The 12,211-nt window shown below is 42.4% G+C and overlaps 1 protein-coding gene across 20 annotated transcripts in view, besides 2 other annotated features; it reads right to left on the bottom strand.

The window, feature by feature from the left end:
• The window catches only part of JARID2 (jumonji and AT-rich interaction domain containing 2), a 275,974-nt gene that overhangs the window by 70,245 nt on the left and 193,518 nt on the right, over positions 1-12,211 (bottom strand). The gene's annotated exons all lie outside the window — the stretch shown is intronic.
• Positions 3,530-4,030: an enhancer, noted in NCBI's record as "H3K4me1 hESC enhancer chr6:15447999-15448499 (GRCh37/hg19 assembly coordinates)". NCBI's record gives its function as "activates a minimal SCP1, AML or CMV promoter by ChIP-STARR-seq in primed H9 embryonic stem cells {active_cell/tissue: H9 hESC(primed)}" and the evidence as "EXISTENCE:reporter gene assay evidence [ECO:0000049][PMID:30033119]".
• Positions 6,774-7,274: an enhancer, noted in NCBI's record as "H3K4me1 hESC enhancer chr6:15444755-15445255 (GRCh37/hg19 assembly coordinates)". NCBI's record gives its function as "activates a minimal SCP1, AML or CMV promoter by ChIP-STARR-seq in naive H9 embryonic stem cells {active_cell/tissue: H9 hESC(naive)}" and the evidence as "EXISTENCE:reporter gene assay evidence [ECO:0000049][PMID:30033119]".

The following is a 12,211-nucleotide window of genomic DNA, read 5'->3' as shown; positions in this document are numbered from 1 at the left end:
TACATGGATATAAAATGTGTGTCATGGACATGTGTATACATGTGTGTAGAAATACATGCCTATGTACACACTATGTTTGCCTGAGTATTTAAAAACTACACACGGTATCTGACATCATCAGCTTAATGGTGTTCATTTATTTCCACTGACAGTAAAGAAGAAAACACTACATTATCCTGCTGTATTTATATACATCCTATACGTCCATCTAACGGGGTCACAAATCCATACCCACATCTCTTCTGTGTCATTACATCCAGGTCACCTTTGCCTATTTAGCCATCAGTGTCCCTGTCGCCACTTCTAAATTCGGCCACGAAAAGTTCACTACAACAATTCAAGTTTGTACTACAGAAAAAAAGGTATGTCTCTAGTCTATCTACGCCCCCTCCAATCCCAAATTCTGGGTTACCCTCTGCCAACAAGGTCAAATTGCAACTATTTGGTAGACATTAAAACAGAAAATAGCCCTAATCTACTCTTCAGGCTTCTTTCCCATTACAATCCTATGCTAACTCCCTAACTTACCATTTGTTAACTACAGAGTACATTTCAATTCCTTTCACCTGAATATCTTACGTAGAAATTCCTTTCTATCAAAACAAATCCTAATAGATCTTGGAACAGTGTTTTGTTTGTTTCTTTGTTTGTTTGTTTGAGATGGAGTCTTGCTGTGTTGCCACCTCAGCTCACTGCAACCTCCACCTCCCAGGTTCAAGCGATTCTCCTACCTCAGCCTCCTGAGTAGCTGGGATTACAGGCGTGCACCACCACGCCCAGCTAATTTTGGTATTTTTTGTAGAGGTGAGGTTTCACTATGTTGGCCAGGCTAGTCTTGAACTCCTGACCTCAGGTGATCCACCCGCCTTAGCCTCCCCAGTCTTGACCTTCCAAAGTGTTGGGATTACAGGCGTGAGCCACCACACCCAGCCCAGTTTGTTCTTTTTTAACACAGTAGCCAATAAGAAATTTCCCTTTCTCTCCACCAATAAATACACGAACATATTTTTGCTTTACATACAATCAACTTGATATGTATCGTCAATTGCCTAATAGTCCCTCCTCCTCTAATCGTAAAGGTCTCCACTCACGCAATAGTGAGCACTTGCAAGGATGAGAAACTGGGCCCTACTTTAAACTGTTCACCTAGACCTGCTCAGAGAGGTATTTGAAAAACATTCTTTGAGGGCAGGAAAACAACAACAAAAAGAACCAAGAAACAGCCACACAGTACAGGGATTGAAATAGACCTCATCAGAATCCCAAACACTACGTAGGATGGATAATGCAATGCCACTCAAGACAATTAACTAATAAAACTAAATAAGTGCCGGGCGCAGTGGTTCATCCCTGTAATCCTAGCACTTTGGGAGGCCGATGTGGGTGGATCATCTGAGGTCAGGAGTTCCAGACCAGCCTGGCCAAGGTGGTGAAACCCCGTCTCTACTAAAAATACAAAAATTAGCCTGGTGTGGTGACACGTGCCTGTAATCCCAGCTACTCAGGAGGCTGAGGCAGGAGAATCGCTGGAACCCGGGAGGTGAAGATTGCAGTGAGCCAAGATCACGCCACTGCACTCCAGCCTGGGCAACAAGAGCGAAACTCCGTCTCAAAAATAATAACGAATAAAAAAAACTAAGTAAGTAAAAGAGAGCAGATGTATTCCCTTAAAGACATGGTTGGGAGTGGATTATATAAAATAGTAAGCATTTATCTTAAACTGTTGATGCTCAAAATGCTGTAACATTTAAAAAAAAATTATACTATTTAACAAATTCCTACAAGAAAATACACAATGATTGCCTACTTCATCAAAACTAATACCTTTAAATTTAACCTCATAAATCCTCCACACTCCCGAAATATAAAGTACTACAATGTTATGAGGAATTTCCAATCTCATTTTAACCTTAAATTCCCTTGTATGTCCTAAGCAGTGTCTACTCTTGTCTCCCCTATGACCATCGAAAACACCACCGTCTAATAATATTCCTGATACAAACTGACAATCCACCAAAACGGACAAAGTGTGACTCCAACTACTTAGTGGGTAATCTATAGTCCTTAAAAAAAATCTACAAACAATGTAGGTCATTCAGAGCACTTTTTTTTTTTATTTTTAACCTTTTTACTGAAACTGGGTCTCACTGCACCCAGGCTGGAGTGCAGTGACGCTATCATAGCTCACTACAGCCTCAAATTCCTGGGCTCAGGAGATCTTCCCACCTCAGCCTTGCTAAATGCTGGGACTACTGGTATGTGCCACCACACCCAGCTGTTTTTGGCTTGTTGCTGTTGCTGGGTTTTTTTTTTTGATAAAGACAGGGTCTCCCCATGTTGCCCAGGCTGGTCTTGAACTCCTGGCCTCAAGCCTATCTCCTGCCTTGGCCTCCCAAAGTGTTGGGATTACATGCATGAGCCATGATGCCTGTCCCAAAAAGCACTTTAGAACCCAGGAATAACTGATATGAAACAGTCACATTAACAAGGCAACAGCAGGAAGTGAATCAAGTTTAACAGAAATTCCCTAGTGTTATTTTTTAAAAAATAAGGGGGAGGGTGGGATCAGGCAATGCCACTATCTCTATGTCATGGGGAACAAAGAGAGCTTTTTTGCAACCAACTGCCTGCCTCTATATAAGTCATGACAGACCAGAAGCCCAGAGGCAGGATCTTCACATGGGACAATGAAGTGGGGGGCAGTTAGGGTGACGGGGATATTCCGACAATCACAGAGCTTCATCTATCACAGATGAGGAGCAGTTTTCTGCTTGGTTGTTTTTCCCCTTTTAAATTTTCCATCTGTTACAAATGTCTTTTTTTTTTTAATTACATAAAAAAATAGAACAAGGGGGCAAAAAGCAATTTAAAAAGACAAAACACAAGCCTAATTTATTGGGACTCAACAGACACAAAATCATTCCATCAAACTGCAGAGGTTTCTCAAGGCTGGCTCTCAATTTCTGTATCAATTCACAGGCACCTGGTGATGGCCAGGTCTCGAGCACACAGTGTCAGAGGAGGGAAGGCTACAGAACCCTTGGTCCACATTCCAACCAGCTGCCAGGTAGACTGACCCAACACAACTGCCCTGCTTTTCCCATGAGGCTTTCCTTCCCACCAACCTCCCAGACTGTTTTAAAACAAAGGAAATGTTGTGCCATATTTAGAAAAATTGCTGGTTTTTAATTCTACTGAAAAGTATTTTTAATTGGCAATTACATAATATATACATCTTCATTTGAATGGACGCAAATCGCACTCTGAGTATTGCAGGAATTTTATAGAAATATTGCCTGCATGTTAACAGGATGTTAAGGGTTTACAGCTTTTTTAGAAGTCAGGGAAAACAAACCCTATACACGATGAGAAGATTGTGCAGCGACAATGAGAAACAAACAAGTAAACACAGACGAAGCACAGACAACGGAGCGAGACACTGTGAGATATTTTACAATTTCAGGACCTCAAAGATAAACTGCTCCTACCAATGCTCAAATAAAAGGTGCTTGGTGCCTAATGACTTTCCCAGTGAGGCTATGAAAAATAAGGCAATAACACATTAAAAAGTGGCAGTAAAATAAATTACCCCTTAGAGGAAGAAGCCAAGCTCCCAAGTGATTAAACATTTGTGAGACCCAGATGAAACCAGGAACTAAAGAACAAGACAAACCAATATCTTTTATAAAGAGGCCAGAAGAACCTGTATTGTCTAAAAAGGGTAGGTCTGCAGTGTGGCTTTTCAACCTGCAGAGTCCCGTGGGGATTAAGAGCCCCATACAACCAAAGAGCTTGAATGGCACAGCCAAATCCTGAGTAAGCCCTCTAAACAGTACAGACAGGCTTCAGGGACAGGAGTTTCCTTCTAGAATGCTGGATATAGGAAAATGGAAGAAAGTGATTTGGATGTGCTGAAAACTCACAATATTTGCACCTAGAGATGCTAATGGCAGGAGCAGCAGAAGCCTGGGGTAAAGGAGGAGGTCACCTGGCAAGCACGAGGAGAAAGGTGAGGCTGCACCCAGCCTGTGGGGCCTCAGCCCTCCAGGGGAGGCGGCATACCCGCCCACCACACCATTTATTTCCTCACTCCCTGCCATCAGCTGACTGGCATTTTCAACAGAATACTACCTGCCATTCCATTATTACAGCAAAAATGAAAAGAACTGGGATAAAAGAGGTTCAGAATCACTGTGGGGTTGGGGTGGAGAGAGCACGGGGTTCCTGGGGTTGAAGAGGTAAAAACATAAATGTTTGAGAGAAAAATAAAATACGTGCCCTCCCAAGCCTTGGGCCTTGCATGTAGTCAGGATGGGCCTTCCTGCCCTGGGTAACACAGCCCCAGAGAAGGTGTGTGTCCTTCACACGCACCACGGAAGTAGCAATCATGGTGTAATTTACTTTCATGTGTTTTTTTTATTAATTCTTCAAGGAGATCCCTTACAGAAGACACCTTCATTCCAGGAACTCCACATGTACCCTTTATGTCAATGAAACCAATTAAATCAAGCCCTCCAGCAAGCCAAGGTGAAAAGATCAAATCAAGTAAATGTAAACCAGCAGAGGAAGAAGTATGTTGATATATTCAGAGGATAACATTTTATTTACAATATGGTACAACATAGGGTTGGCGCAGTGGGGGTGAGGGAATAGATGTTTCAGATCAGATCATCACTGGGGCGTGTATGTGAATTAAAAGACTACAAAGTTCAAATAAGTTCAGAAGAAGACGGATACGAGCTGCTGTTTGGGGAAATAAGAAAGGCTGGTCACTTTGTTATGTTCAAGGATCTTAATAAGATCCCCTTCACTGTACACATGAGTAACTAGGAGAAGGGTGAGACCCACCCTGGGTCACATAGCTTGGATGGCAAAACAAATAGGAGCAGCAGACGAACCTATGGGTCCCTATGTGAGAGCTGTCTCTGTCATGCCACGCCACCTCCACGTGGCAGGTTAGGCAAAGCCTTGTGAGCACAGCCTTCTGGTGTGCACTCCCTCACTAAAACCTGCCAGGCCAAGGAGCTCCATGGTCCCTCATTCATAACCAAAATCAGCCCCGCTGAGTGAACACCATTTAAGCTGTCTCAAAATAAAAGGTGTTAAAATGAATGACCATTTACGGATTTGATCCCATAGAGTATATGGGAGTGTATGGGAGTGTATGGGATCCCATAGAGTGTATTTTATGTGGCAACAAATGGCCTAAGACAAAGGTAGGGATTGCAGGAATGGTCCAAGGGGATCTTGCTTACTCCAAACAGCTCCTTCCATCTGGAATACTCTTTCTCTTGCCATGCCTGGCGGCTTCTCATCCTCTAGGCCAGATAAGAGAAGCAAACAATCCAGGCCTGTTACTCTGTAATAGAGGCCACTTCCCGCACAGAAGCCTCTGCACAGAAGTCACCTCCTCGGAGAGAGGTGACCATCCTAAAGCAGTACCTCATGCATAACCAGCCACCTAACCCCAAAGCCATTGCTCTGCCCTTCTGTTGGTATACACAAGACTCTCTACTGCAGTCTCCTCTTTCTGGTCCACTTCTATATACAGGCCTTACCAAGTCTAGAGGACAAGGCCTCCATAGATGCTGGAAAGGAGGAGGGGAGGAACACTATACTGCTATAGTTGCTGAGAATTATACAACCCATCACTCATGATTTAGGAATCACAGAATACAGTACACACATGGTATCTGAGCAGAGGGGCAGACTGAATGGCAACTCAGAGGAAAAGGGAGATTGGTGCATGTTTGTGAAACAGATCCAATAGCAACAGGAGAGGAGGAGCCTTGGTATTGTTGTGCTCCAGGTAAAGTTAGTAGCCATCCCAGCAGAAGTCTACCTGAAGGTAGACAGGAATTCAGTTTCGTTAAGAATAAAACTGTGTCTTGAATATAGAGGCTGATATTTGAAAACGAAAACAAAAAAATACCAACTAGGCACCAGCCTACATGGCCCTCCCTTAAGAATTTACCATGCCACTTGCCCATTCTCACCATCATCTCGCAGAAGCCAAATAAGGTCTGCCTCCGGCTGACAGTCACCCTGTGGCACAAGGCGCTTTTCTAACCCTTGGCATTTCATTGTATTCCACATGGCCTCACACAGCACAACTGTTCCCAGGCCACAGTCGCTGGGCCCAAGAGGCGGCTCCTGACACACCTCATGCAACAAGACCACCACATACATCAGAGAGTATTTGTACTTCCTGATCAAGCTGCATGAGCTCGAAGGGGGAAAGATCCCTATTGTCCTTTCCCCATCCATCCACTCCCTAAGCTACATGGAAGGTGACTTTCTTTTTCTGCTAAGCCTCCCACAGCCACCTCTCACTTGCTGTTAGGTATCACCGCTTAAAAATTTACCAAAATCAATCTTCATTGTTTGTTGTTAAAATAAAATATATAGCACCTTTATGAGAACGAAGGAGCACAGCAAGATACACACTAACATTATTTGGAAAGTTAACCAATAAATCACGAGACCATGCTTGTAAAGAAACCCCAGGGATGAACTAACAGTCCTATGCCAAATACTTTTTTCTTTTGTAATACCCTCCCTGTGCCCCTTCCTCCCCAAATGATTGATTTAGAAGCTTCCTGGGCATCCTGCCATTAGAAGCTTCACACAAGGGTGGCACTGTTTCTCCAGGTTTCCTCTGGGGTCATCAACAGTGTAGAGTTAACCAGCTTATTGCTATCTGTGCACTCAATCTCTAGGGTAGCCCTGACTGCGGCACAACAGCAATTTCCAGGTTAATTAAATCCTATTTCTGTCCAGGATTTCTGATAGCCTGCAAACCCAAGAAGGGCATGGCGTGACACACAAATCAGCTGGATCAAGCAGGAGCAAGGGGGACCAGGCGGCTTAAAGTGAATGCACAGCTGTTCCCTTGCTGAGGGAAGTACATGCCAAAACATCATTTTATTAACTCAATTTTCCAATATTAAAAACGTAAGCTGGTAAATCCAATTATTTAGATTACATCCCAATTCTAAACAAAGGGCAAGGAAAGGGTGGGAGGGAGGGTCTGTTCATTCAAAAAAAAAAAAAAAAAAAAAATCAGACAGTTCGTGTCTGGCAAATGCAAAATGACCGGCATGGCTGCGCTCTTTGTGCCGGTGTGGGAGCTGGCCCTGAAGCTTTGCCAACTTGCTGAAAGGCCTATTCAAAAAAAAAAAAAATTTCCTGTGTTTCCATCCCCAAAATAATTACCCACTCCATTCGCCCCCCAGACACACACACTACAAACCTGGCAGCCACTCAAAGAAACAAGAGTGTGCCCGTGTGTGTGCGCACTGGAGGTTGTGGGGGGTCGGGCAAGGGATACCCTCTACCCAGGGCAAGCTGCCCACCAAATTCAAATGCAAGTGCGGTTGCGAGCAAACCACACAGAATGGTTGTAAACATCCTGAACAGTAAAGAGAAAATAAACACATCCTCAAGTGAACCCAGAGGCTAGCAGAGACCAATTCATAGCAAACTCTGTAATGAGAGGCACTAGCATAGACCATATCCTTCTAAGCGCAAGGTCCACCCAGTTCCCACAGTTTTAAACGGTCAGGGTTTGATTTACCAGAATGGGAGGGCATCACACAATGACAAAACGGGAGGTCAGCTGGCTCTGTAAGCAGAGTTATCCTACGCAGAATGCCTGCTTTATGGTACTTCTGGAGATGGAGCCCTAGTGGTCCACAGCCTCATTTCTTGCTTTACACATAAACTGATGGAACACTTTGTTTATGCAAAAAACCGCAGGATATTAAATATTTGCAGCACTTGTCTTAATTAAGTTACATAGGAAGCTATTTAGAATAAACATTTGCCATAGCCGGAATTTGCGTAAAGAAATCTTTTGTTAGTTGAATTCCCCTCAAGATGAAACATTATGATGTTTTGCTTGGTCAGTGGTACAAGCAAAAGAGTAGTGGTGTCACAAAACCTGAGTTTAGTTCACCTAACTTGTCACCTAGGGCAAGCTGGGTCTTTTTTTCTTAGGTGGTTTTTTTAAGGACTATTTTAAAAAGGGAAGCTAAGGCTCTCTCTAGCTCCAAGCTTCTGTGATCTTTGACCTCCTCTTAAAAAAACAAGTGGTACCTGAATGTAGTAATTTCTGTAATAAATCTTTTGGATCTATCATTTCGTAAGAGTAGATGAAAAGTCCTGATTATTTTGGAGAAGTAAAATCTAAATCTCCAAACTGTCAGTATTGCTAAAGATTTCTAGCGCCAACTTTCTAACTGCCAGTAAAACAGCAAAATATACTGACTTTTAAAGTGCTAGTACTACCACCTAGCACTTTAGAAGGTGGAGGGGAAGGTGAAAAATTCATTCATATATATTTTAGAAAGATATCACAATTCCAAAAATCCACTCCCCTACTCCCTTAAAGATTAAATAGTAGCAATACAATCTGTAATCTGCATTTCCTTCCACTTAGCCCTTCCAATGAGGAGTAACTCATTTAGGCAACACGTTAACTTACTTCAGAACTGTGAGTCACCCTTAGGAACGCTGACATAACTACTTAAAAATATATTCATCAGCTCTATCCATGAAGAAGCCAGCCCAAGGACAAGGCAAGCCTTGCAAATCCAAACATCACCACCACATCAGGAAGACACCATTCTTGCTCGCAGACACTTCACTCCCTTGGAATACTAAAGTGGAAAACAGGCATCAGAGAGAAAGGTGAATCTTTTTTTTTTTTAATTCCAGGGAAGGATTAGGGGGGTAGGAAAGAGGAGGAAAAAAATTAAAAAATCGAAGATAATAGCACTAAATATCTACAAGATATGAACTTTTTCCCAAATAAAACATGACTTGGTGCATATAAATCTCAGGTAGCTGGTGACATCCTGCACAAACAGTATGAAAAGTAATATGCAGTACAGTTTTTTATTCAATTAATAAAATTATTCAATTATGTTTCTTGAAATCTTCTATGGCATCCTGAAATGTCAGAGAACCAAGACTGCCTGAAAATCATGACTGTCATGATCAAGGAAACATCTGACATTGACTTCTTTTGTGTTCTAGAAAGCAACCGTGTCAAATTTGAGAGGGATCATCATTAATCAACAATTAAAGTGGCAACAAAGCCCTTTTGTTCTGTCAGTCACAAATGACACAGTTATAGTTTACCACCTATGGAAGGCTGTCTGCGCCGCCATCCCCACACGGCATAACCCCGTTGTTATGAGGGATACAACTCCAAGCCCAGGAGGGAAGAGCCACAAATACTCTTCTCGTCAAAGACTGCTGGTCTCAGGACAGTCTCAAGCAAAAAGCAGATAGATCTTAAGGCAGAAGGGACTACATAAAGACAGTAAGAGTCAGAGTAACACATGCAAGTAGCTACAGAATCCAGCCAGGATCTGGCCAAAATAATTTCTAATAGGCTGTTGTAGTTACAAGGAGTGAACAAATTATCTAAGTACATTCAGTTTTAAAAGCCTAGAAGAGCGAGTTAAAATGTTAATTTGCCTTTCTACTATCTCTCGATGGGATTCCCTATTTAGTTTTTAAAATATCATTTCAACAAAAACCCTAGCAGTCTCTCAATTTTAGATTACTCAACACCCAACTGCAAATTGCCAGAACTCTCCTGGCAATGGGCATGTTTGGAAAGGCAAAGGGAATGACCCTGTGAGGCGAGAATCCTGTTTTACTTCCTTTTTTTTTTTTCAAAATGCAAGAGAAATATAAGAAGAAATTGTATTCTACAATGCTATACAGCTTATTAAAAAATAAAAATCCAGGCCAGGCGTGGGGGATCACCTGAGGTCAGGAGTTTGAGACCAGCCTGACTAACATGGTCTCTACTAAAAATATAAAAATTAGCTGGGCGTGGTAGCAGGCGCCTGTAATCCCAGATACTCAGGAGGCTGAGGCAGGAGAATCACTTGAACCCAGGAGGTGGAGGTTGCAGTGAGCCGAGACCGTGCCATTGCACTCCAGGCTGGGCAACAAGAGCAAAACTCCATCTCAAAAATAAAATAAAATAAAATAAAAATAAATAAATAAAGAAAATCCAGTGGAATGCTTCTAAGATAGCTGCAGAAACTTCCCACCAGAAATATCATACCAGATGGAGTTGTGCGGTAGGTGAGGTCCTAACCATCCATTCAGCACACGACAGACCAAAGCACAAAGGCGGCACTCAGAGTGTCCTCTAAGTCCCAGAAGGACCAGAGTGGGCTCTGGCATCTTACATGTCCTCCCTCTCATGCAGTAAGTTCACTAACAGAAATTTTCTTCATTTAAAGGGTAACAAATAGAAAAGGGATCCCAGGCAATTTCCCCACCCACTGCAAATCTTATGAAGTAGCCAGCATGCACCAATAGATGGCAATAGCGAGTCTTTACACTCCAGCTGTGGGATCACCCCTAAGGGGAAAAAAAGGAATGCTAAATTATGACAAGCACTAGTATTAGCCAATTTTTAGGACCTGCACTAAAATCTGGTGCCAGTTAAGAACCCAGCCACTATTTACAGAAAGTAGGTCTATCAACGCTATTAGTAATACCATCTCACCCCTCCAACTCATTACACCCCAAAGTTCTTGTATGGAAAACATCTAGGAATATACAATCCAGCTATTTTAGATCCCAAGAAACATGGCTAGAGATAAAACACACAGCATCTAGCCTTTTTTGGTGAGTATCAGAAAACCTACATTTTCTGATTATCACATTTTCTGAGTATCAGAAAACCCACAACATCTAGCCTTTTTTGATAAGTATCAGAAAACCCACATTTTGGGGCTCTGACAGAAATTTATTTAGTTGCCTGGACCTTAATCATTTGTGATTTTCAAAGTATGGGGCATTACTTAAACTATCACCAACAAAAATGCGGAGTGAAGTCTGCTCTGTAAGAAAAGGATTCACTATAACTGACACATTGTCTCTGACAACATTTGTTAAAAATGCCTAAGATAAGGAAACACAATCATAATTTAAAAAATCTGCTAATAGCTAATGAACTTTAGGAAAACTAATTCTCCTCCACCTTCTGACTGTTTGAGCTCTCTGATGCTGAAACAACGGCACATTCTCCCACTTAAAAACCGGAGCTATTACAGACACAGTGTCTGAGCATCTATGTCACTGGCTGTAGTAACAGTTCTAGAAGACACATTAGTGGAATAAAAATTTAAATACAACCCAAAGAAACTGTGCCAATGGAAAGTGGGCAACAGGGCAAGGTGAGCAAATCAACTTCCTTTCTAACAATACCCAGAATATCCCTTAAGCAGCCTTAAATTTTTCCCAACATTCAACACTGCACATGGTACCATATTTCAGGCCACAAAACAGAAACCAAATGGCATCACTGAATCAAACCAAAGGGAGGGACCTGAGGGGCTGGGAGGCAGGATGCAAAGGGGTCAGCCCAAACCTTCCAACTCACAATATTCTACCTCGATTACAATCTTAATAACCATTCCATGACCTCAGACACCTCGCCTCAGTACAACATGAAAGTCCTCCCAGTTTTTATCAGCCAAGGACCAGTCCGCTGTTGCAAGCTGTGAATCCACCTGATGTCAAGAATGTGCACTAAATTGAAAGAGGTCACATATGTAGACAGCGGCAGTGGACAACAGATGAGCAGTGAGTATCTGCAGGACATACATGTTCATCTAATTGCGTACGGCTTAAATGAACCCTCAAAGGGTCGGACGAGAATATCTTCTGACTACATCTCAAGTCAAAACGTTTCCAAGAAGGTAAAGTCATTCTCTCTGATTCACAAGGGGTCTTGATGTCAAGTATGTTATCTGTGTTTCAGGCACGGAACCAACAACACTCTGCTAAAGGTACAGCATTGCTGGTTTAACACATGTGCCTCAGAGTTCCTTTCCAGAGACAACATGCTTGCATTTGCTGTGACATTATAAAAGTACTCTATGGGTTTTTAAGGCTTTGAGCCAAGCCAGTAGCAGAAACTCCCAGGGGTGAGACTGGGAAGAATGAGGAAATCAAAACAAGCCCTTCTCCTCATCCAATGAAGCTGGCTTGTTACCCCTCTTCTTTAGCATTTTAACTCCATGACAATTTCTGATCCCCACTCAGTTTCCGGAAACATCCTGAGAAAAGAAGTCCAATCTCTTAAACAGGACTCAAGATAAAAACACCCAAGCTGTGTGTAATTCTGAAGGGCTAAAAGACAAAGACTTCCTGTTCAATTAAGTCCTTCATTAAT

This window comes from Homo sapiens, chromosome 6 (assembly GCF_000001405.40).
Source record: "Homo sapiens chromosome 6, GRCh38.p14 Primary Assembly".
Lineage (NCBI taxonomy): Eukaryota > Metazoa > Chordata > Mammalia > Primates > Hominidae > Homo > Homo sapiens.
The sequence above is the reverse complement of the archived record's forward strand: the minus strand, read 5'-3'. Positions and strand labels throughout refer to the sequence as shown.